This window comes from Homo sapiens, chromosome 5 (genome assembly GCF_000001405.40).
Source record: "Homo sapiens chromosome 5, GRCh38.p14 Primary Assembly".
Taxonomy (NCBI): domain Eukaryota; kingdom Metazoa; phylum Chordata; class Mammalia; order Primates; family Hominidae; genus Homo; species Homo sapiens.
The window spans coordinates 77,205,849-77,232,965 of record NC_000005.10 but is presented as its reverse complement, the minus strand read 5'-3'; the positions used below and the strand labels follow the sequence as shown (position 1 = coordinate 77,232,965).

Here is a 27,117-nt window from a genome sequence, read left to right as displayed (position 1 = left end):
GACATCTTCCAATTCAAAGGATTCGCTACTTACAGCAGTATTCCCTTTACAGTTATTGGTTTTTTATTGCATTTGTATTATTTATATTTGTTAACCCTGGATTACAAATTTTTATCATTAAAAGATAAATTAGTCAGACAAGGCAATGATGCACTTGGTTTCCATGACAACACTTCACAAAAAAAGTTCAACCTGCTGCATCACCACAGAGCACTTCGAAAATCATTTCCTAGCAACCCCACGGGTATCCAGAGACACAGACCTTCATCTCAGCCTTTTACTCAGACATAAGAGAATTACACACATGATGACACAGAAAACAGGTCACTCGGTTAGCACAAACATTTCAAGTTGGTATATTTCACTAATGTGTGCAGCAAAATAATTCCCAGCTATGTCTGCAAGGAGATGATATATGCAGCTATGTGAATGTCTCAAACACACAGCATCTTCCCCCTAAGCTATGAGCTACGAAAGACATTAAACTAAATTCCACTTTGATTAACTTGATTTAAAGGCAAGTGATCACCTTTGAATAATTCACAAATATCTATGCCCCTATCTAGAAAAGAGGAATTTTTAAAGCACCCTCTGCCAATCTGAAAGACAGTGTGGCCCTCTCTGTTTCAGGCTTATCGCAATACAATGATATGCACTAATATATTGGGAAAATAAGGAGAATGTACAAAGTTTAAGAGACTTCATAACAAAGTTTACAACCTAAAAGACAAGAAGCTTTTGCATAAGTAAATGTGAAATACTGAGGAACGTTTTTTAAATATGAAAAATGGATGTTTTTCTATGCTTGCAAAATTTCTCAAAGTTCTCCAAAATAATACATTCTAAAATTAACAAAATATACAATGTGATCACTGTAAAACAGTTGATTACTGTGCAAGTTAGTCTCCAATTGTAAAAACCACTATGCCCATCCACATCCACTGTCTGCCCTGCTCTGTGTCTTGAAAGGCTGATCTGTGCAGCCTGCACAAGCCTCCCTTGTGGCTGGCTTCATGTTGGATGTGACCAGTGGGAGGCACTGGCAGGGCACTGCAGGATGAGAGCTGAGAGAGGTCAAGTCACTTCTTTCCCACTCCTTCGCTGCTTCAGTGCCCTGTCCTGGCAATAGCATGTGCCTTCATGAGTACCGCTTATGCCAGGGGCCCCTCAGTCTACAGTCCTAGGGCCGGTAAGGGCTAAATACAGTTGCTAGTCTAGGCATCTCATTGTCCCTTGTCTTTCCTTATCTATGCTCACACCTCTGTAAGCAGAACCTACACTGAAGTCTCTTCATCAGAACCATCTGGGGGTGAGCTGTTTCCCGTGGGACCGGGACTGATGCAACTTTGACAACTGCAATCAATTCTGAATTAACACGTAGCAAAACCTCTTGTCACACAGCTTCCTTTTGACATTGTTACCATTATCATCGTTCCTACTTTCTCTGATTATCACACAAAAGACAGAAACGAAGGTGATTTGAAATTCCCTCCCTTTAAACCTAAACCCAATGACTTCCACTGTAACCAAAGAAAAACAGCTTAAAGAGAAACAGTTTTTCCTTAAGAACTTTAAGTCAATCTAAAAAGCAAGACTGTTTAATCCAAGTAAAAAGCAAAAAGAACTGAAAAGTAGAAAGGGGAAGTTCCCACACACTTTCCCCTACTTCCTTTTAAGCTGGGTCTTTGTAGCCTGACTTTGTGTCTTTCCAATTTCCACACTGTCTGCTGTATCTGGCTTCATACAAGCAGGTAAAAAACGCATTCCAAAACAACTACATGTGAATTTTGTTTCAGTCACCATTTGGAAATTATTTTAACCGCCATTTCTTCCAAACTACCAAAACAAATATCAAGTACCAACACACACTGCATGACTCCATGCACCCAAACCAGAAACCTGGCCCACATTTAATTCTAGTGCTTCCAATGATTTGGGGTTAATGCTAAACTTCTGAACCAAATCGAAATCTTAGTTTCTGCACTTACAGAAATGGCAAGCAACTCTCTCAGTTCTTATTGAGAGGTCTGAACAACATGTGTTCACCAGCACCTCCTGTGGTGGCAAAAAATGGTGCTGCCTGAAGATTCTTGAGACTAAGTCTCTTGCTTTTCCTCCAGGTCCCACCAATTTCTTCTCCCAGACTGGAGTCAGGCAGTGATTCTCAACTCTTGACTTTGCATTGACATTGAATGTGCAGCCTTTTAGAAATGCACAGAATGGCCGGGTCTGGTGGCTCATGCCTGTAATCCCAGCACTTTGAGATGGCGGGTGGATCACTTGAGGTCAGAAGTTCGAGACCAGCCTGGCCAAAATACAAAAAATACAAAAATCAGTGAGGCCTGATGGTGGGCGCCTGTAATCCTAGATACTCGGGAGGCTGAGGCAGGAGAATCGCTTGAACCTCGGAGGCTGAGTTTGCAGAGAGCCAAGATCATACCACTATACTCTAGCCTAGGCAAGAGAGAGAGATTCCATCTCAAAATAAAATAGAATAAATTTAAAATGCACAGGCTGGGCAGACCCCTTGAGATTGTGCTTCCAGAGCTCTGGGATAGGGCCCCACAGGGGATTCTAGCATCCATCCCTGTAAAGCCAGTGTGAGAAGTGGTGCCTGTACTTTGGCTTCCTGAGCTAAAAAGGTGCAGTGTAAATTAAATTGACAAGGAATACCAATATAGTTTTTCTGAAGGCCCCTGGATCTAGCAGAGAACTGAAACCCAAGTTCATGTTGAGATTTCACCTATGGGAGCTTATTTAATTCTTAAAAACAACCTTGAATGAGTCATCAGGGAAATGCAAATCAAACCACGTGAGATACCACTTCACAACCACAAGAATGGTTATAATAAAAAAGACAGGCAATAACAAGTGTTGGTGAAAACATGGAGAAATAGAGACCCTCATACATGCTGGCGGGAAGAGAAACTGGTACGGCCACTTCGGAGAACAGTTTAGTGGTTCCTCAGTTAAACACATAGTTACCATACAATGCAGCAGTTCTACTCCTAGTATATACCCAATAGAAATAAAACCACATGTCCACACCAAAACCTGTGCAAGAATGTTCATAGCAGCATTATTCCTAAGAGCTAAAAAGTCAAAACAACCCAATGTCCGTCAATAGATGAATGGATAAACAAAATGTAGTATATCCATACAATGAAATATTATTTGACAGTCAAGAGGAACGCAGTACTGATATATACTTCAATGAGAATGAACCATGAAACATCATGCTAACTGAAAGAAGCCAGACACAAACCCTACATATTGTATGAGTCCATCTATAGGAAATGTCCACAATAGGCAAATCTATAGTGCCTGAAAACACATTAATGGTTGCCAGGGGTAGGAGTGCGGAGGGGTGGGGATTGGAACTGACTGCTAATAAATTCAGGGTTTCTTTTGGAGGTGTTAGAAATTATCTAGAATTAGCAGTAATGGTTTTACAACATAGTAAATATACTGAAAGCAAAGAACTGTGCACTTCAAAATGGTTAATTTTATGTTTTTCTAATTATATCTCCATTTTCAAGAAAAAGTCAGTTACATGACACTTTATAGCTTGTGAATGGTATTCTATAGCAGTATCTGCGTGCCAGAGTACAATATTGCAAGCACTGGATAGAACTAGTGAATGCGTGTCCCACCTTTGGTCTAGGTTTACTAAAATTTTGACACTAATTTTTCTTTTATCCAACTGTTTGCAAGAAAAATGAATTCCGTATTTGATTCTCTCTCCTACCAGAGGAACATATGGCTTAACTAGAAAGAAAATTTACACAGTTACATTGATTAAATTGAGAACATAAGCTCTTTAAAGAGTATTTTGAGTTGGGCTCTCCTATCATCAGCCACTTAATTTACAAACTTACATAAACTCTTACAGACCTCTCCCTTCCATCCTTTCCTTTCCCTCTGTCAACTTCTCTTTCCCCTGCTTCCTAACAAGAATGTTCTGCCAAAACCTGGACATCATTCCAGACCGTTCTATCTCCCACATCTGCCTTGCCCAAATATCAAATAACTTCCTAATTGTAAAATTAAAATGTATGCCCTCCTATTGCACTACTTTAATCCAGACCCTCTTCATCTATCACCTAAATCATTATAAATGCTGCTAAAATTGATCTTCCATACTAATGAAACCACAACTTGGACTGTGTCATTCCCCTGTTTAAAATCCTCCCTGTGATCACCTTGATAAAGTCTTCATTCTTCAGCCTGACAAACGAGGAACTCCAAAATCTGACCCTCATCTTTCATTTTCTCCATTTCTGATACCTTCTATATGTCTTCCACACATGGTTTACACAGAAAACTACTTGGATGGTGGTCCTCAGGTATTTTACCCCCTCAATGTTTGCTCATGTTAGTCTCTCTGCTTGGAATCTCTCCCTTCCTCCTCTCCCAGCTACACACCAAGTTAATCCCTATTTGTCTTTCAGGGTTACACTCAGACATCCAGACACTGCATTATTGGAGAAGCCACTTCCCTGCCAGGTAGGTTCCATGCTCTTCCTTCATGCTTCCATGGAACACTTCCTCTCTCAGGCATTACAGAACTGTAGCAGACACTTGTAGGACAGGCAGGTTCCAACACAGCCCCCAATGATTCCCACCTATTCGTACTCATGCCCTTGTGTAATCCTCTCTTCCACATCCATAATATGACTACCATCTTACTGATAAAAGAGACTGTCTCTCTTGCTGGCTTTGATGAAATATGCTGCTATATGGGGCAGGACGGTGTGGCAAGGAACTGAGGGTGGTGTCCAGCCAACAGTCAACAAGGAGCTAAAGCTCTCAGCCTAACAGCCATCTAAAAAGTGAATCCTACTAACAACCATGTAGATAAGCTTGGAAGATTTTCTCCAGTCAAGCTTTCAGATAAGACCCTGCCCTAGCCAACATCTTGATTGCAGCCTTGTAAGACACCCTGAAGTACAGGACCCAGATGAGCTGTGCCTGTACTCCTGACCCAGAGCAACTAATAATAAATGTGGGTGTCTTAAGCCCCTAAGTCTATGGTAATGTGTTATAAAGAAGTAAATATCTGCTTGTGTGTTATCCCTTTCAACTCCTCCAACTAAGTATAAACTCACCTAGGGAAGCAACCATCCTACTCAACTTTGTATTCTTAAATCTAATGCAGGTGCTTGATGCCCAGTTAAGCCCTCAGTATATGTTTGTTGAACTGAACCAGTCTGCCCCAAAGTTTCTGCATATTTGACCCCAACCTTGCTTCCCCTTCCTAAACTGAGGCAGGTAACCAACTCTGTCTTCCATTCTGCGTGGCTCACAGCATAGTTAAGATACTCCACCTCCAAGATTATCTCTTATGGACATGCACAGGCACACCTCCACTCTTTATATCATTTTCTCCATCTTTCATTTCCCATCTGTACCTCCAAAATTTTGCTATGAATCTAATTCATCTTTGCTCTCTCTCTCTCATGGGTGCCTTTGCTTCTGCCAGTCTTTCTTCTCCTGCCCCACCCAAACTTCATGAATTAGTCTTTTCTCCCAGGAACCTAATTATTTTTATTGAAAAATGGTATTTAGAGGTATGATCTCACCCATTCATGTACAACTTGTGAGCCAAGAAAACTCCTTGAGCATTGCTAGTTGATAAAGTTGATACATTTATATAAGGAAAAAAACAAGGTCAGTTTAAAAATTATATTGAACATAAGAAAGCACTACAGGATCATTATGGATCAGATATGTGATTCTATCACAAAGATAAAATCCAATTTCTGAAACATACAAAAGAATATACATCTATGCATTCCATTTCTAAGGTGGAAAAAAACTTGATTTTAGGTCTTGGTGATTAATACCAAAATAAGGTACAATTATGCTCTAAGCTCTAATGAAGGCTCAAGAAAGTTCTTTACAACAATCAGTGATACAGAGCCCCCTGTGGCATTTTGTGGGTGCTGACTGGGTTAATGCCAGTGTAAACGCATAGGACTTTAATGTAAGTGGAAAGGCAGAAGTGAAGATGAAAAGGCAGCCACTATTCTTCTCAAATCACTTTGCTGCCATCATAAGGGAGGAGAATTACAATGTCCAACAGATGCAAGACAAACCTCCTCTAAACAATTTGTCTCAGAGATCTCACACCTCCATGAAAATGAAACTATAGCTGGGTTGAAAGCAGAAAAAAGTACATTTTACTCAAAGAAAATCCTCTGAGATTAAGATCTAGAGATCTTAAGCTTGAGCTTCAGCTAAAACTATATTACTATTTTACAATTACTAAACAACTAAAGAGTCCAAGGAAAGTCTTTGTATGATAGGCAGAAGTTAATGCTCTGGATAGATAAATATATTCTTTCTGGAAAACATTATGTCACTATTGTACTAAAAAATTAGACTGTATGATATGAAAATATATAGGCATAGGGCCATTCCCTGTATCACCATTACAATAGCAAAAATTACTGGAAATAATCCCCCCAAAAAACATCAATAGGGGACTGGCTGAATAAAACAAAGTACAGCCACATGATGGTATACTATGCAGCTATGAGTAGGAATGAGGAATATCTTTATGAACTACGATGGAATGATCTCCAGGATATCTGTTAAGTGAAAAAAGGAAAATGCAGAAAAGTTGAGTTCTGCAGAACATATGTTAATGTGTATTTTAAACAATGGTATGAAATGCATAACATTTTAAAATGTAATTACCAATAAGGCAGAGGGCATAGAATGTAAGAGACAGAGATAAAATCTAAATGTCTCTGAATATACCATATTTTACGTTGATGCATATAAATAATTTACATTCTTATAACACTAAACTAAACATTAAAGAAGACCAAATCAAAAGGAAAATGAAATAAATAATCCTAACTGTATTGTGCTAATCACTAACTGGTCCATTGTTAGTAGAATAGCCACATAAAAAAGAACTGATTTAAACAATTATAAACACAGTAATTTGCCTGCTCACCCCTAGTGGGACAGACCCTAATATCAAAAATCACTGGAAAAAAATCAAACTGTTTTCAGTGTTCATATTGATCATGAAGTCGTGTTGATCACTGGTATTCTGAGATGTGTGCGTGGGGTGTGTGTGTGTGTGTGTGTGTGTGTGTGTGTGCACGCGCATGTGGGATCTAACAAATGAGGAATTATCATGATGATGTTAAGAACCAGGATTTATGTCATGGGAAAGAGGAAATAGAAACGTAAGACTGACGAGGTTGAAGAAAAGGCTTGTAGTCCTAAATTTAAACTGGATGAATAAGTATACACTCACGGTACATTTTTATCTTTCAAAAGTATCTATTTCCTGGCTATGTCCACTTAAAAAGTCCAGAAGCAATGACCAGTCCATTAGCAATGAACACCCGAGATCATACCTCTAAATACCATTTTTCAATAAAAATAATTAGGTTCCTGGGAGAAAAGACTAATTCTAGATCAGAGACAGGGAATGGACGCAACAAACCTGGAACATCTAGTCAGTCCAAAAAGGCAGGAAATCTGTCAAACATTACTAGCAGACTATGAAAAGGACACAGGAGCCAACGTGGCTACTCTGAGTAGACAAAGTCAGGACAACTGAGCATCAGTAAGGACAATAACTGCAATGGACTATGACACATCTAATATTTATAAACTGATAATTTTATAGGAATTCAAAAATCATCACTGGTTACCTTTGGAGGATGCTAGGAAATCAACTCATTATTTTGAAAACTGGCAAATGGAAGAGTAGAATCAAGCATTTGCCCTGCCTTTCTCATATGAACTGTACCTCAGGATAACCAACTATTGGATGGAGGGAAGTTTATCTTTATAGATGCATTCCAGAAGCACTGTAGAAAGAATGGTAGGCTTTTGCAACCCCTAAGGAATTAATTGATCTAGGCAACAATCATCAGTGGCTGCTAACGTCTCCAAGAGACACAACCAGACATCATGTGCCTCCTGATGGAGGTCCATGACACTACCTATAAAGTAGTCTTCCCCAAAAAAAAAAGTAAATAAACCTGAATCCTATCAAGCCTCTAGATCTAACTACCAACATACAGGGAATACAAGGCCAGAAGAATGTGGTTAATGATACCACAGGAATGTAATCAGCAAAGTCCAGACTGTGGGAAACTCTGCTGGACAAATGACCCAGTTTCTTCAACAAACAAATTGTAAGAGAAAAAGAAAGAGAGGAAAGGGAACTCACAGATGACAAGATCCTTAAGAAACATATCAATTGATTGCAATAGCTAGATCTTATTTGAAAGATGATTAAAAAAATCTTTAAATGAAAATGTTTATGAGATAGGGAAACTTCAACACTGTCTTGTATTTGATAATATTAACAAATTATTTTAATTTAGGGATTTGCTAATAGTATTGTGGTTGTGTTTTCTAAACAGTCCTTCTCTTTCAGAGTTACATACTGAAATAGTTACAGCTGAAATAAGAGGATGTTTTAGATTTGCTTTAAAAGAATCCCAAAGTATGGGGGAAAGTAGGAGGTATAAATAAAAGAATAGTCTTAATTTGTTACTGTTGAAACTGGGGGATGTACACGTGAGGTTTCACTATCCTATTCTCACTACATTTGTATACATTTGAACTTTTCCATAATAAAAAATGTTAAATTATGAGCCTTCAAAAATCGGCTTGTATATTATTATCAATAATAAGCAATATTTACTGGGTGTTACATTCAAAGCTAGCAATGGTACATATATTGATTATATCATCCTTGCAGTAACTCTATGAGGTCAGAACTTTCACTATCCTTATTTTTCTATCCTTAGACAGAAGAAGTTGAAAATTAAAGAAGCTAAGCCATAGAACCAACAGATGGTACATACAAGACCACAGTACAGCATAGTTCTCTGACATCAGATCCCAAGTGTCCAGTGAGAAAAGCAAGAACCATTTTATATATATTAAGAAGAGATACCGCTGTAGTGAACTGTTTACAAAGGTGTTAGAAGGTATGGATGAACAAAGGGAAGATGGAGGTAGAGCTGGAGAAACTAAAAAGATAAAGCAGTAACATCCAGAGACAATAAACTGTTAACACCCTGGGCTGACACCCGCCAGCCCACACTCATGCTGATCAGCGGAGGGGGCTGGCATCATCACCACTCAGGCAGCACCACTGCCACTTAGCAGGGGCCACTGCTATCGCCTGTTCCTTTCTCTCACATTCCAATTTCCTGCCAGTATCTCCTACCTGTGGAATCTAAGAGGAAACCATCTGGAAAAGTAATGTGGAAGATGCAGCTTGCAGACTTCTAGCCTCATATAATACAAAGGAGAAAATGGGGAAGCAAAAATGGAGCTACAAACTAAGAGACAAAAAACCAACACCACTACTGTGCTATGCTTGTCAAGTTACAATGTCAAATTGTAAATGCTTGACTTAGAACCTTGATGTAAATTTCACTTTCTTCCTCCGTTTTTCCAACATGGTAGCTACTTGTGTGGTCATTATGCACTTGAGATGTGGGTAGTCCCTACTGAGATGCAGTGTAATTGTAAAATACATTCCAGACTTTAAGAACTTAGTTCCAAAAAAAAAGAAAGAATGGGTGGGGGGAGGGGGGAGGGATAGCATTAGGAGATATACCTAATGCTAAATGACGAGTTAATGGGTGCAGCACACCAGCATGGCACATGTATACGTATGTAACTAACCTGCACATTGTGCACATGTACCCTAAAACTTAAAGTATAATAATAATAAAATAAAAAAAGAAAGAATGTAAACTATCTCATTAACAAATTTTATATTGAGTACATGTCAAAATAATATTTTTAATATACTGGTTAAGTGAACATGTACTAAAATTAATTTACCTGCTTATTTTGACTTTTAAAAATGTGATTCATAAAAAATTTTACAATTACATGTGCAGGTTACATCTGGGTCACATTTTATTTCTATTGGGTAATGCTGCTTTAGAGCTTCAACCCAAAGCAAGCCTTATCTGGCAGTCTCTGAACCATAACACCCAAGAGTATTCTCAGCCATCAACTCCACCAGACTTTAGAGTCCTTCTTAATCAGTTCTCTTGGATCCTATTTATGTCTGGCAGCTTTGAGCTCCAGGCTTAGAAAGCCTGACCTTAATTCTGCCTCTGGCCCCTGCCTGTGGCCGTACAGTTGTCTGCTCCTTGGCTTTTCCTTACAGTCTTCAGCTGACTTACCCCTCAGGCTCACAGTTCTTCATGCTCTCCCAGTAGGAGTGTCTCACCTGGAAGAACCCAATTCCCAATCCGTAACTCCTGCCAGCCAGCCGGCACTCAGTCAACACATTGCCTTCCCACAGAAGACGACAATATAGGGCACAAACAATGGAAGCTCCCGAAACGTGGAACTATGTCATATTCTGTTTTTTGAGATGGAGTCTCCACTCTGTCACCCAGGCTGCCTCCCAGATTCAAGTAATCCTCCTGTCTCAGCCTCCTGAGTAACTGGGATTACAGGTGCAAGCCACCACGCCCAGCTAATTTTTGTATTTTTAGGAGAGATGGGGTTTCACCATGTTGGTCAGGATAGTCTCGAACTCCTGACCTCGTGATCCACCCGCCTCAGCCTCCCAAAGTGCTGGGTTTACAGGCATGAGCCACCATGCCCGGCCATCATATTCATTTTTTTTATCACTCCAAACCTAGAGTAGCGCCTTAGTATAAGGCAGAAAATACACACACACGTACTTGAGAACCTAGCGGGTTTACAGGGACTGTACCTCTAGGTTGTACCAATCCTTTTAGAGATGCATTATCCCTACCGTGCAAGGAGAAATCATGCAGCTTCTCCAAAGTCACAAAGTTTGTACAGGGCAGAGCTGGAATTCAAGCTGGAGTCAGTGAGCACCTTTCCTTCACACCAGGTTACCCTTTTGCAGCCACAAAAATTATAGCAAAGGAGCTGCAAGGGGGCCTTGTGAAATGCCTCCTTTCAAAAGCTCCATGATGTTTGGGGCCTTGGCATGACTAGAGAGGGCTAGGTGGACACCAGGATGTGCCTCCACCCCCAGGGTGGTCAGTGGAGTCCCCATCTACAAACAATGAGTTTCGAATAAGGACACACTCAACTTAGCTAGAACTGTTTCTTCAAGAAAAGTGCCTCACCAACTTGAATAAGCTCCCTTCAGTCAAAACTGGGCAGTCTAAGCACAAATAGGTTTAATAACTGCAATGCATCAACACATCAAATACACATAAACCCATAACGATTCATAATGATACTAAGCAAATTAACAGGCAAAGAACTCCTGTCACCTTAGGAGAATGCTAGGGAGTCAACTCTTGAAAAAAGTTTCTTGAGGCATTCCAATGAATACATGAAGACAAAATGATAGCATATCACCATTTTACAACCTCTAATGACTAATGGATATAAGCAATGATCGTTAATAAGAGTTAGCATCACAGAAAAGAGACAACCAAACATCCTACAAAACTTCGCATACTCCGATTTTCTGTTAGCATCACAGAAAAGAGACAACCTCCACCCTACAAAACTTAGTATAATCCAATCAAACCTCTAAATCAAACTACGGTTTCTAGCAAACACAGAAGGCAGGGAAACATGTTAGATGCATCATGGGAATGCAATAAGTAAACTTTAGATTGGGGGAAAATCTACAGGACAAACAACCCAGGTTCCTCAACAAACAAACTGCAAGTATATAGAAAAGAGAGACTGGAAGGGGAAGCTACAGATTAAAAGAGACTTAAGAGGCATAGCAACCTACTGCAATGAGTGGAGTTACTGTTTGGATACCAACAAACAGTAAAAGAATAAGTAGTAAGACAATTAGAAAAGTGTGATTGATATTAAGTTGTCATATTTTTGGTATATAATGGTTTTATGATTTATTTTTAAAAACAGTTCTAGTTAAAAGATACCAACTGAGCTATCTGTAGATGAAACAGAAAATAAGTGCCACAAAGAAGCTCGACACACCCCTTTTTACCTGGAGATAAAATAGGACAGTGAAAACAGGACGGTTGAGCAGATGTAGCTCTGAGTCCCTAGCTGTGTGACCTTGGTCAAGCTACTTGAGCCGCCTGTGCCTCCACTTCCTCCCTAGCAATGTGAGGTTAATAACACCACCTGAGCCCCTCAGCTCCCCAGCACACAATGGATCACTAAAGATAACTACTCCCTAAAGGAACTTCACGAATTCTCCCTCATCTGCTTCATCAGCCTCTAATTAAACCCGCTTCTCCCAAAGGACACCCATACAAAAGAAATGGGAGTTCTAATTCAATTTTATGTTTCTTTCACAGCAATATTGTTTCAACAGTGTAAATATATTCCAGCTACATAATGGGCTAAAACTTTTTTGTGCTAACCTAGAAACCTAAATGCCACATATAACATGTTTCTATATGAAAGTCTTTCCCCAATAACAACTAGGTGCCTTACAAACTAATGTTTGTCATATAGTCTGCATATAAAAGTGAACACTGCCTTTCACGTTCATCCAAAGCATTTCCTGGTTGTGTTTTAGGATTCAAAGTTCTCACCTTTGATATAATAAGAGATTCCAACCTTTTGCCCCACCTCCTTGTCCCTTCTTGAAAATCTCAACAAAGTCTGCAAAACTCCCCTCTACCACTGCCCGTAGGGAGATCAGGCTAAGTGGATCACACTCCCTTGCCCTCACCTGTTCCTCCCAAGGGATGAAGGCTCCACAGTCAGTCAGCCAGTCCCAGGGTTTGACAGTCCTAATGGGCCAGATCACTGCAGAGAACAGCCTGGGTGTCAGAGACCTCACCCTGGGCTCCACATGTGACTGAGAAGAAGGGCAGGGCAGCAACCACAAGGACAGGAGGACCTGCAAGAGTCTACTGGGTGAGGAGGGGTCCTGAAACTGGCTTCACAGACCCAGCATTATAGATGTGGGAGGGGGAGAGCAGGAAGTCTCCTGAAAACTTACCCGCCTAGGTGTTCTGTCCCAGCAACACTTCCTAGAGCAGGTGTGTGCACGTGCATGCATGTGTGTGTCTGAGGCTGCACATGACAGATGGATCTGGGATGAAAGGTTGTATCCACCCAATGCTTGCACAGGCACAGACTAAGCTGATCCTTGCTCCCTTCAGTCTTTATTTGGCCATCCTTCTTTTGAGCATCACACTCTCGACTGTGGGGGAAAGAGACTTCTAGTTCCAACTAAGGCTCAGCTCCAAACACTATTGGTGGCTTTTGTTTCCTTGCAGAGACCCCATTTCTCGGCCAAGACTGTCAATCCATTTTTTAAGCTGAAAATGAGTATGTCCCACAAGGCCCCAGGACCACTAGTGGCTGAGGTGTGGATTGTTGGGTCATCACTGGCCTTCATAAATGTATTTGTCTCTCCATTTGGTCATTGCTCTCGTTTGAAGCTCCCTCAGCAGGAACCCTGGAGTGGACAAAAGCTCTGGCTATCCTGAACCCTTGTCATCACCTTCCAGTTCCGGAGCTTTAATGCTATTTGTGGTTCTGACGTCAGAACGGCATCTTTTTCTTCATATGGTACCCTGGGTGATAGGTTGCTTTAAAATCTCTCATGCATCTTCCTATAAAAATTTCCAAAATTTAGGGTCTTATCTCAGTTTTATGACTCACACAGGCAACTGGGTCCCTGGAGCTAATCATTACATCTTCCTATTTGAGAGAAAACAGGTTTTAGATGTACAGTGTATCATTTTCCCAACAATATACTGTGTCTGACAGCACCCAAAACGCAGCAATATGAAAACCAACCGAGCTCATGCAAAATGCTTCTAAGAGCAATTAGAGACTGAGGCTTCAGGCTACAAGTTTATACCAAAGAATTCCACAGGGAACCACCTCAGGATAACACCAAGGCCTTGACCTGTAAATTCTGCTGAGTGCAGGCTCAACAGTCATGGAACCCAAACCCCAGCTTGGGCCTTGGACTGGCAAGATTCTACTATGTCATCTCTGGAAATCCAAGTGAAGCAGACAAAACCCATGTCTGTGGCAGCAGTTTGCAAGGCTTTGGGATAACCTATCTGTCTATAAATCCAGTTAGTCATCTATTGGCCAAATCAATGTACTTGAAAGTGTCGGATATATTTTCCATTAAAAAAATTACATGTTTCAAAAATATCTAAATCTAAATAACCAAAATCTCATTTTGATTACCCAAAGAGTAATAATAGCAACCATAAAAATAAGAGCAGCTACTATTTGTACAGCACTTACAAAGTGTCAGGCACTGTGTTCAGTGAAAATAATGACAACATGTTGTACCAGAGCTTGTCACATTTTGTGTGCATTTTTTAATTCTTCTCCAACTTCAAAACACTCTAGTTCAAGTTAATAGAAGGGGTGACAGTGGATATGTGAAAGGAAAAATCTCACTCACGAGGCTCCCTGCTCCCCTTCCCTCTGCCTGTTTATCATCCTTCTGCTCTAAATAACTGCAGTTCCAGGACCAGCCACACTTAGGGCTTCAGGCTGTGTGGCCACAGGCCTGAGTGTGCAACACACTTAAGGGATGGGCTCATGGGGTGAGAGACCATTCGGACCCTCTTGCCTTCAAACTTCAGTCCTCGCCTTGGGAAATTTATCCCACCTCTTGCAGCCCCATTTTCCTCTTTTCTAAAGTGAAAATAATAACGTGTAGCTCATAGCAGAACAGGGAAAATCATGCAGATTTGGTGAAACAATGTAAATAAAGTGCTCAGCAAATAGCAAGAACTTAAATAACAACTAATATTATTATAGCTATCCTGTTTACCTTGTTGCAAAGTGTACAAACCATGCACTAAAACTTAAATCGCCTTGGAAACAAGAGACAACCATGAAATATTCTTATTTTCATTGATGGATTATCCAAAAGCAAAATAGTTCCTTGATTTTTATTACAGCAATCACAAGCTTCTTAAAGCAAATTTGCAGCAGGGTAGGCTAATCCTACTTCAGGAACTACTTTTCTGTGCATTCTCCCTAAGGAGGGGGAAAGGAGGGGATGAAAGAAATCAATGGTAAAGAGTAAAACAGAAAAATCCTAAATAAGAGTTGACTATTATCTGCTGATGGAAGAAAAAAAGAGACTAGGGAAGGAGCCATGAACAACTAATTTTAAACTAATATATACTACAACTTGTTGAAAAGTAGTGTTTTGGGCCAAGCATGGTGGTTCACGCCTGTAATCCCAGCACTTTGGGGGCCAAGGCAGGTGGATAACTTGAGCTCAGGAGTTTGAGACCAGCCTGGGTAACGTGGCGAGACCCCATCTCTACAGAAAATACCAAAAAATTAGCCGAGGGTGGTGGCACCACCTGCAGTCCCAGCTACTCGGGAGGCTGAGGCAGGAGGATAGCTTCAGCCTGGGAGGCGGAGGTTGCAGTTAGCTGAGATCACACCATTGCACTCCAGCCTGGTGACAGAGTGAGACCTCATCTCAAAAAAAAAAAAAATTGGTGTTTTCTACTAAAACATAACTACCAAGACTTCCACTGTAGGGTAAAGGTAACACCTATCTTTAAAAATAAATTCCTGGACACATTTTAATATTTTTAAATATGTTCTAAATGTACACATTCTTTATTGAAAATATAACCTTACAAGCACATAGCAAAATCCTTTTTTTTTTCACTTTTTGAGTCTGTGGAGAGAAGGTTATAGAAAGTGGGAAAGTAAAAACTGAGAAAAAAAATGGAATAAACTGATAAGACAGGGTCCTGAGTCTCTTATGAGGCTCAGGTCTTTCTCCCCCATTCCACCCTTGGGCTTTGAGTTCAGGATAGGGAGAAGGACAGCAGGCAGGGGACAGAGGAAGTGATAAAAAAAGTGTATCAGCAGTCAGGGGACAGAATGAACTGAAGAGAAGGATATGTTTACAGCAATAAGTTCGAGGTCTCCAACCAAGATAACTGGACATATTTTAATATCATTAGTCATCAAACAGGAACTGTAAACAGTGAATTAAGTGGCCATTTTAAAATGCCATTATTTTAGACAATCATCAAACTGCCCATCACAATTTTAGTTTATCTATACCGAGGTAGCTCCAGTGACACTGAACATCTCTTATTGCCTGTTACGAAGAGCCTTTGGGATATGCTCAGGATATTTTTCATTTGCCCCTCCAGACCCACTCTCCACCCTGCTCAGCACCCTGGAAAACCCCAATCAACAGATTCCTTTTCCCTCTGGTTTCCAGATGTGGAAACCAGCAGGAGCTTGATGAAAGGGAGGACAATGTCATGAAGGGACTTACTGCTTTGGCTCCCTCCCTGTCCACTCCTGAAGGCTACAGCTTCTGAGGGTTTCCCTGACTTACAGGTTTGGTTTCTCAGATTCCCATAACTACCCTGGTTTCTCAGCTTCCCATAACCACCCTGATATGGTTTGGCTGTGTCCCTACCCAAATCTCATCTTGAATTGTAGCTTCCATAATTCCCATGTGTTGTGGGAGGGACCTGGTGAGAGGTAATTGAATCATGGGGCAGTTCCCCCCTTACTGTTCTCATGATAGTGAATAAGTCTCACGAGATCTGATGGTTTTATAAGGGTAACCTCTTTTGCTTGGTTCTCATTCTCTCGTCTGCCACCATGTAAGACATGCCTTTCGCCTTTGGCCATGATTGTGAGGCCTCCCCAGCCACATGGAAATGTGAGTCCATTAAATCTCTTTTTCTTTCTAAATTAACCAGTCTCTGGTATGTCTTTATCAGCAGCGTGAAACAGACTAATACACATCCCCTCCCCTTGACTCTTCTGGGGTAGTAACAGCTCCCTCTTTTTCTAGCCTAGGGTGCTTCAGCATCATTTGTTGTCTTTCCTTCATCCTGCCAAAACATTTGCAGTAGTCCCTTCATTTGATTATTCTGAGTTAACCCTTTTGGATGTGCAGTCTGTTTCCTGCCCAGACTCTGTCTGATCAGGGTGCAAGGAAGAACTGGTTGGTTGGTCTTGTGTCATTTGGTGCTGGGTTCACAAAGTTACCTACAGCCCTCCGATTGGTCACCACAGCCTCCTGAATAGAATAGAAAGTAAGCAGCTTTTATTCCCCAATCAGAAGTCTCAACCTGGTTCAACAGCTGTCACCTTTGCTGAACCACTAATTTCTAGATTTCCCTTGCCTGCCTGGCCCCAACATTCCCACCTGCTCCCTGGCCCCCTCCAACTTTGCTGGTTGAACAAACTCTGGACTCTGTCTTCCCACCTGGTTCCACGGGGCTCACTCCCTCCTTCCTATTTTGATTATTATTTTGATTACTGGCCTTTACCCATGACCAGTTTAGTGCCACAGAATCTGCCCTGCCCTCACCAGCATATTCTGTCCTGCTGGCGCCCAGGCCATACCTGGTGGTCACCAAAACAGGATTTCAGTAGAAACTATATCATCTCTGAACAGCTGGCAGCTTATACTATGTTACATCCTGGCTTGAGGACTTACTTTCCTTCAAAAGGAAGAATTACCTGATAGTCCTTAAAAATTCATGGAACTACTGAAGAAAGTCATGAAAATAAGGAAAATGTGCTCATTCATTCTAATTAATGTGCTGGGAAAAGAAGGGACTAAATTGTAATCATATATACAATGGCAGAAGGCAAACTTGGATTTTATGAAATCAGCTTGCAGGACTCATTTGAGCTTATTAAACTTTATACTTCATTTTAAAATGAAAAATGATGGTGAAAGGCCTAGCAAGAATTCCAAGAGCTGAGAAGAGAATATGTGCCTGTATCATGTAACATCCAGCCTTGCTTTAGACTTCTGTTGTGGTGGCAAAGCAAGACATTAGGACCTGTACAAACCCAAAAGGATCCTGGGGAAAACTTAACCTCAAGAAACCAGAGTTGGTTACATGATCCAACACTCCTCACTTACAGACTTTTTAGCCAATCTCGGAGGCTCAGCGTTTTGACTTCCTGTACAGGGATAGCAGGTTTCCCATACAGAAGTGAACTAAGATGAAAGCAGTGCTATGACCAGTACCCCAGATAAAGACAGTGTGGTACTATGCACTCTGCTAGAGGTGGCCCCACCTCATTCGCCTGGTCAACAGACAGATAATTTAATTCACCACTGTAAAAAGCAGTGGTTCTCAAAATGGGGTCCCCAGATCAGCAACACTAGCATCTCCTGGAAGCTTGTTAGAAATTCAAATTCTCAGGCCCCACCCAAGACCTACTAAATCAGAATCTCTGGGAGTGGAGTCCAGCAATCTATATTTTAACAAGCTCTCTAGGTGATTCTTGCGTAAAGTTTGACTCCAAAACACTGACTTAGAAAACAAAAATGACTTTTTTCCAAAATAGCTCTACTCCTCCCCCAAATAAAATCTCATTATTATTTACCATAAGGTCAGTGGAATATCTATTTATTTTCCTTTTATATATAGTCAACTCAGGATTATCCTCACAAATTCTGGAGTGCTATGGAACAGAAAACATAGCAGTCACTAATAACTGGCTTAGGCACACCATTTTACAGGAGATTTATCCTCCTCATTAGGCTTTGCTTACCAAATTTCATGGATATTTCCTGAATCGCTAGCACCTACAACACAGTCTGGCCACAAATACTGAATGAACAAATGAGCACATTCTGTATGAATGGAGGGAAAACGGGGAGCTGGTGATGCTGCCATCTGGAAACTAACAACATCCTGTGTCTGATCCACAAAAGAGTGAACCTACACAGAGGTCATAGCAAGTTGACGATATTGTCAATAACGATTCTTCTCTACAACTGGCTGTCTAGTCCCAGATGCTCCCAAGTAGGAACAGCTGGTATGAGAAAACTTGTAAGAATCCCTGGTTCTTCCCAGAGAGAGGTTCAACCATCTCCTCTGAGGATTTCTGAACAAGAATTACAAAACTGGCACAATATCAAGAGTGAACATCCTGCAGGATTCTCCTGTTGGAGTACTATTTTTGAAAAGGCAAGCAAAAAGGAAAGAAATTGCTAGGAAGTTGCATTTTCACAGCAATTGGGAGACAAATCTAACTTCTTACCAGAAATGGAAACCCATGTGATATCATTGTACTGCATATGAATTATTAATGCTTATAACCCTTTTTTTTTTGCAAATTAGGTATTCAGGAAGGTTCCTGTTGACATCATGTTTGACATCATAATGCCTCATCATTCTAAAAGCTTAATGAGATGAATTATTGCTAGAAAAGAGAGAGAGAGAGATCAAGCACACATTTTTGCACTCTGGGGAATACCAGAGGCCAAGTAGATAATGAGGATACACTTCATAATTGATGTAAAATGGCCAGGGGGAGGGGGTGGAAACTATTACAACCTTCCACCACTGTAAACAGGACCAAATGGTAAAGATTTTATTTTTCCACCTGTGTGCTTTGGAAAGGGGTGGGGCACCACCACGTGCCTAGCAACTATCTCAAACTCTTACGGCAAAAAAAGAATGCTTAGTCTACAAAAAAATGAATGTAAAGTTTTTATAAAATTATCTCAGCAACAAAAGGGCACAGAACATGTGAACTTTACGATTGAGAAAAGACAATACAACACCGAGTCACAGGCCTAAAAGGATACTATTAAATATATTAGGGCAGTTCTGTGATAATAATTCTGTAAGATTTGCATAAATAACTCTGGTCTCAAATTTCACTTCAAATATATACTTTCTGAGATCCACACAATGCAAAGTAGTGTTAAGTCAATGAACCAGGGGTTTCATTTCCAACATTCCCAGTAATGGGTTAGAGTGAATTAAGCTCTTATTTGGGAATCTTCTTGATAAAGCAAAATGAGTTAAACTCCTACCCAGGTCAAGCCTTTTAATACTTAAGCCAAGTAGCAATGAGATTAATACAAGTTTATACAAGCTGCTAATAATTGGGGCTCATTGTCCCTTCAGTTTTTACTTCATTTGGTCTCTAAGCAGCCTCTTGAGGGAAGTATTAAAAATGTACAGAATGGGTTCATTCAGTATTCTTTCTTCTACTGAACAAACATGGAGTAGCTAGAGTTGCCAAGTACTAAACTGAGATTATAGATATTCTAGAAAACAAAAATTCACAATTTCTCTGGAGCAACCAAAAAAAGTATCACAAAGTTCATGAGCTGTCACAATTTTGAACTACTGCTTCAGGTCTTCAACCGTCAGGCAAAAGGATGGTCTTTACTGATAATATCCCAACTTAATATTTTCACCAAATTTAACATTTTCATCCCTGAAAATTGCTCCTAAAGCTAACTTTGTGTGAACAGGGAGGGGGAGAGAGAGAGAGCTTGACAAAAGCAAAGTATAGCGTTCAGCACATGCCTCTGTAACGAATGGGCAACTGGTAGGTTTGTACTGTCATAAATCCTAGACTCTAGTCTTCAGACATGCTATGCTAAGATCACACTGTTAACATTCAATAGTTAGGAGAGAAAGCTTACTCCTGGCACATAGTAGGTGCTCAATAAACGATGTTTTTACTATAATGGTGATTATGATTACTGCCAGAGAAACACTGCAACCACAAGCAAACATCAGTCAAGCTTCATGTTAAACAATCAGATGCTGTTAAAAAAAAAATAGGTTCATTAAAAAACTTTTGGACTTCCAGATTGAAGCCAAAACATGTTATCCTTCTCCTCACTCCTCCACTGTGGGCTGCCTTCATCCAATGAAGACCAAGTTTTTAACTATTAAAAATACAAATGTGTCTTTGACAAATAATCCATGGAATGGTTCTTGGTAACCTATTGACCAGGTAAAGGCTGTGATTCTATCTGACATTAGGAGTATTTTTTTCTCTCTGTACAATAGGATATGCCATTGTTATCTTGTTTGCTGAAAGGAAAAAAGACCCAGTGCCCAGATTTACACAATGAAAAGCCTCTTGGATTTAACGGTACTTTGAGAACATACGGGAGGACACTATTTAAATAATTATTTTTCTTCTGTCTTTAAGAAATAAATATTTAGCGACTGCTTTAACCATCTAAACAATTTTTTCCACTTCCTCAAAATCCCACTCTCTGGGAAGATCAGTTGTATGTGCAGAATCATCCTCAGACAGCTGTACTGCACTGGAAACCACGTCCCCTCACGGTGGCTCTGCTGACACTCCGAACTCATGGCCCGGTTCTCTCAATTCTGTCTAGGATGCAGCCAACCCAGAGAAACGTTACAGTGACAAACAACAGGTTCCACTCTGCTCCGTTCCCACATCTCTTAAAACACGAACACTCATTCATTCACAAATCCCTACGCTCGGTTCCTGTGCTGAGACTCCAGCCTGGCTGGTAATCCCAGGTAAAAATCGGAATATGGGGCACTATCTATCCTGGTGCTGCAACTGCACCAGTCACCTACAAGGCACGCAAATCCAGCTCAGTGCTCAGATTTCATTCAACAGGACTGGCCACCGAATGCTCTCAATGGTCCCCACCCCTCTTCCTGCATAAACCAAGCCACAGCCTTCCTGCCCTCAAGGAGGAACAGGCCAGCCCACCTGCTTCCTTCTGCGCTCCCTTCCCCGCCCAGTCCCCCAGGACCAGCTAAGGACGCTTCCAGGACCCCTCCAGGGGCCTTTTTCTGACCACATTTCCTGGGCTCCCATCATCTCCACAAATGAAAAGTAAACTCCTCCTTAGTGACAACCTCTCCAAACCAACCGCCTCACGGTCACCCAACTCCGCCGGAGCCCCCTACCCGTGCGAGCCCCGCCGACGGGGCGGACGGCCCCCACGGCGTGTGCCAGCGCGGGGCATTTACCTTCACGCTGGTGTAGCAGGTCTGAGTCTCGGCCTCGGCGCTGCTGCAGCAGTGGCGCCTCCGGCCCCTGCTGGTGGTCGCGGCGGGGGCTGCGGAACCCGCGCTGCTACCGCTGCCCAGCTCGGTGCGGGCCCTGCGGACGCGGGCTACGCTGGGGGGTCCCGACGCGCGGCTCGGGGGGATGGCGTCGGCGGCGTCGGTCTGGACGAAGAGGCCGGGCAGGGGTGCCGCCGGGCCCTGCGACACGCTGGTGGTCTGGCGGGGCGAGCTGGACTCGTCCGAGTCCCGGCAGTAGATCACGCCGCTCTGCGAGACATGGATGCTGGGGGCGCAGCCCATCCCTCGGCCGGGCTCCCCCGCGCGCCCGCCCGCGCCCGCGGCCGCCGGGACCCAGCGCACCCGCTGCCACCTGCAGTGAGGGGGCGGCCGCGGCGGCGCCCGGACTGCGCGCCCCCCGGCCTGTGTGTCCGCCGCTCCGTCGGGCTGGCCGCGGTGCCCCCCGCCGAGCCTCCGGGGACCGCGCGCGTCACCCCAACTTTCCCTTTTGGGCCATCTTCCTCCCCGAGCGGGGGAGCGCGCATACACAGCGCCCCGCGCGCACCAGCGGCCGCCACCCTCCCCGCCGCGGCGCCCCAAACACGCTCCCCGCGCCTCCGCCTTCCCCTCCTCCCTCGGCGCGGCCCCCGCCGCCGCCCAGCTCGACCTCGCCGGGCTCCCGCACCCGCGGCCCTGGGCCAGGGCGCCCGCCCGCCTGCCCGCCTGCCTGCACCTTCTTTCCCCACTTTCGGTCTGCGCCCGTCCCCTCCCTCCCTCGCTCCCACCCTCCTTCCTCCTCAGGTGCCCCGGCTCCGCGGCCGCAGCCGCCCGGGCCCCACTGCGCCCCTCCGCCCCTCCCGCCGCTCCCGGAGCTCTCCCGACAGGGCAGAGCGTGCCCGCGGCTCGGCTCCGCCGCGGGGCCCCTGTGCGCGGCAGCTGGCACCGCGCCTCGGCGCCCTCCCCTCCTCCTCCGCTGTCCAGAGGCCTCGTCTCTTCTGCACTCATCCCGACGCCGCCCCCAGCGCCCCAGCCCCTCTTCCCCTGAAGGGCTGTGTAAGCCTCTCGCTTTTCACCAACACATTTTCACACATCCCAGAGCTAAACACCAGGAGGCCCCTCCCGAAATGGCAGGGGCCCTACAGCCCAGGCCCACCCACCGCATTTGCTTGCCTCTCAACACACCCGGGAAGTGATGGAGAGACCTCATGGTTCCGTCCTCTTCCCCCAGCCCCACCGCCTACTCCGAAGGCTGAGTTGGATGGTGACCCAGTCTTCAGAAGAAGCCCATTCCATGTCTACTCATCGTTTGGAAGTTTGTGCCAAGGGATGGGAGGCCCTGCGGAGGAAGGCACCCTTGAACACATACGTTCCCCTAAGATCCAAGGCAAGAACAGAAAGAAGCTGTCTGATGGTTCTTGGCTTTCTCCCCCATTTTCACCTCTTCCTTAGGTGTCACTAAATGTTCATGCTGGTTTCTATCCCGTCCAGCCGCCCATGTCAACTGCTGTTCCTCACACTCTGGGCTGGGCAGTCAACAAGGCCTTCCCTCATTCTCCTTGGTGAGGCATGCACAGACTGAGCTGTGCTGGAGGAGAGGAAGAATGCCTTTAGAAGGATGGCTGCTGTTCATCCTTCCCTTGTAAACTCTGAGTTACAGCTGCGAGACACCACTGCCCATTCAGTCACTGGTTCCCGCAGTAATTCCTGCCCGATTTTCACAATGGCACGGGGAGATAAATTAGATGGTCTAAGAAAGGATTTTATCTAGAGTTGCTTATACGGACAAGGGCAGTAACATAGAGGCTTAATGCAAGGCACAAAGAAGTATCCAATTTTAAGGTTTGTTTTTTGTTTTTTTTTCATTCTTATTTTCCTTTTTCTTCCTGGACCACTCTTGGATGTGACTGGATGAAGACTTCAAAAGACAGTTTCTAAATTTCATAGAGAAGCAAGATATCATTCCCAATCCCAAATTCAGTTATACAGGGAGAGTCTAACCTTATTCTTCTACCTTTGCTTCTCTTCTCAGTTTAGCTCTCTTTTTTTGATACAAAAAAACTCCATCTCCAGCTAACCTGGAAAAAGTCTATGCTGTATTTTTTAATGGACAGGCAAATTGCTCATAAAATTTCTGCACAGGTTGGGTCCTCCTAGAAGCAGATTCTGAGATGGTGTTTAGCAGGCAGAGGGAGGCTTTTTAGGAAGTGCTCTTGTAGTCAACATTTGTGGGAGGAAATAAAGGGAGGGAATGGAGGGAGGCAAGCTTGAGCAGAGGGAGAAATTGACCAAGCCTCAGGCATCCCTGCAGGGAGGATTCTGAAGGTGGGATGATGCTTCAGAGTTGTTCTGAGTTGGGGCTGGGTTCTGAGTTGTTCTGGTGGGCCTTTATACCCCAGCATGGACCAGTCTTTACATGCAGGCCACCTCAGCGACCTTGGGCAAGGTGGCTCTCTTCAGCTGAGGCACTGCCCCTAGGAGATGTCAGCTGAGCCAAGGGCTTTCTGCTGGCAGCACTCCCAGTAGCTGGAGGAGTAAGTCCTTTCCTGGCATCATAGCCTCCACCCACAGTTCCCTTCCAGGCTGCTGAGATCCATGTTTCCTTGTCCCATCCATGCCTGTAAGAACACCACATTAAATGGCTGAGACTGAGATATGGGGACAGTCATTCATTTAAAACTAAGCCTCATAGCAACCATCTGCTCTACTTCCAAAGGACAATTTAGGACCTGGGAAAACAACATCAGAGTTAAATTGCAAAAACACTAGTCTCTATACTAGTCCCTGATGTAACGTTCAAGTCAGGGTTTAATGATTCCTAAAGCTTACCTGTGATAATGCATATAGCATTTCAGTCATTACCTTTCATGGAGCTATCAATGACAGCCTTCACATACTGAAATTTACAGCCATGCATATTCTCATGACACATGTCTACTTTTTCAGAGTTTTCTCTAGGAATGCAATGAAACCACCCAGAAAAAAGCACCAGTCACTCACTGAGGCTTTGAAAGGCAAGAAGACTGTGATGAAACAGAAATTACAACCAATCTTCTGGTGGAGAACATTAGGAGCTGAATCATGAAGCTAGAAGTCACCCAGAAACAAATTTAGGTTGAACTTTCTACATTAAAAAATAAGAATAATTAAGCCTTGAAAGAGTAGGTGACCTCAAGGTAGCTAGTGAATAGGACTAGGCTGCTTTAGTGGGTTAACTGAACAGTTCATATTAGGACCAGTGACTTTCATTGACTGCAACTTCTTTGTTGGAATAGAAGATAGAAGGGGAAATGCACTAGGTATACAGTTTTCTTCCCATTCCCAGAGCAGACAGTAGCTCAAACACATCTTCAACTGCCAATTCTGGCTTAGTGAAAGAAAAAAATAATGTGTCCTTATAATCTCCACCAAGTGTTCTCAGTGGGAATGTGCAACCTGCCCCCATTGCTGGAACAGATCTGGCTGCTGAAACTTGCAGAAGTGTGCAAGTGGAGGGGAAATGGTTTAACTGAAATCATTTCCACAGCTTAGTTCTGAAGCCTGAGTTCTGACCCACAGAAGAGATTTCTGAACCAATTGCCACTGACCACTTCAATGCATCCCAGGTGACAGCAAAGACTACAAGCTCAGACACTGTTGATAAAAATTAGGCCTAAGTTACAGAATAAGGCCAGAAAGACCAACATTATTAAAAAAATAATTAAGTGGAGAAAAATTTAGCAACAGAAAATATCCAAGAAGCAAATCAAAAGAAAGTAAACTAAATCAGAAACATATTGTAAAACAAAACCTCCAATATGTCCAGGGTCACCTGAATGGCTTGTGTGTTTTATAATAGTATTAAATAAGAGCTAACTGTAAAATTATGGCCCACAGGCACTGCAAGATCCTGAACAAATAAGGTCCCTTCCAATTCTAAGATGGCATGACTCTTCAGAATTCCTCTAGAGAAGCAGAAAATGTGATTAATACATTTTGAATGATTCTTAGCTGTAAAGGTTAAAACAATAGCAGCTATCTGATTGATTTTTAGATAACCAAATATTTAATCAACCAATCAACCTTACAGAGCTTCTGGATTCAAACTGTGTTCCTAATGGTGGAGCTATTGGAAATCTAACCAACTGATAAGTGAAATGATACCGTTTATTAGGCAGTCCAGTACAGTGGAAGGTACATTGAATTCAGGGTTAGACGAGTGAATCTGAAACCGAGTTCTGCCTCTTGTGGCTGTGTAACCTTGAGCAAGTCACTTAACCTTTGGGCTTCAATTTCCTAGATGATCTCCAGAGTCTCTAAATCACCAACATTCGAGAATGCTGTGAAATTTTTGCTTCATTTTATTAAATTATTTTATATTTAGAATTGTGGGACTTTTGAACAGAAAGAGTAGTCCTGAATCCACGTGCACAACAGAACCACCCTGAAATACAACAGTTCCCTGGTTCCATCCCAGAGACTTTCTTCAGGGGTTAAGGACAGGTCCAGCATCTGTCCTTTCAAAGAAAGTGAATCTAGTATAACCTTTCCACAGCCTCCTTGAAGTTTAAGTCCTTATAAGTGCCTCGAAGACCCTACCCGACGTGGATCCTGGCGACCTTGCTGAGCCCACCCTCACTGCTCCAGCCGCACCAGCCTCCTCATTGTCTCTCCAGGATATCCAACATTGTTAGCCAGTAGCTGTTCCCTCTGCCTGTTGTGCAGCTTCATCAGTACTTGCAAGGCTAACTTCCTCACCTCCTTCAAGTCTCTGCTCAAACGTTTCCTACTCAGTGATGCCTATTCCCAACCCGTGTTTGAAATTGCAACCCACATAGCTCTATTGTTCCTCTACCACTCCTGATTCCCCTTAGCCTGCTATTTTTCTTATTTCATAGCACATATCACCTTTCAACTTATTATATAATTAACTCACTTACTATTATGTTTATTGTCTGCCTTCTCCCACTAGAATATTGGCTCTACAAAGGCAGGGGTTTGGGGGCTTCTTATTCACTGATGGATCCCATACTTTTGGAACAGTGCCTAGGACATGGTAGGTGCTCAAATATTTGTTGAATTTATGAATGAATAATTTTCTCCCATTTCTTTGTCTTTTGCCTTTCTCTTAACTGTTATTACCCAAAATGGAAGGGGTTATTTTATTTGTTTGTTTTTAATAGAGTTTTATGCTCTGTGTTTTTAGTTTTTAAAGTCAGTGAATGCCTTTGATTACATCATGGTAGTCTTTTGGTAATGTACATCAGAAAAAGCCAGAATAATAAAATATAATAATTTGTACAAAGTTGTTGGTAGCAATGTTGTCTACAATAATGAAACTAGAGATAATTCAACCATCAAACACTTAGGGAATGGCTCAACAAATCACATATAAATATTACTA

The 27,117-nt window shown here is 42.6% G+C and overlaps 1 protein-coding gene across 27 annotated transcripts in view; it reads right to left on the bottom strand.

Annotated features, from left to right (window-relative positions):
- Positions 1–27,117, bottom strand: part of PDE8B (phosphodiesterase 8B) — a 341,542-nt gene that overhangs the window by 195,291 nt on the left and 119,134 nt on the right. For 11 of the 27 annotated variants that reach the window (NM_001349749.3, NM_003719.5, NM_001029852.4 and 8 more), the window contains exon 1: positions 21,702–22,286. The exons of 12 other annotated variants lie outside the window; for them this stretch is intronic. In NM_001349749.3, coding sequence (NP_001336678.1) covers positions 21,702–22,040 — 339 coding nt within the window. In that variant the 5' untranslated portion in view covers positions 22,041–22,286. Of the gene's footprint in view, positions 1–21,701; positions 22,287–22,919; positions 23,315–27,117 lie in introns of those variants that run through there. 4 more of the 27 variants (NM_001376067.1, NM_001376075.1, NM_001376068.1 and 1 more) reach the window with 2 other exon arrangements.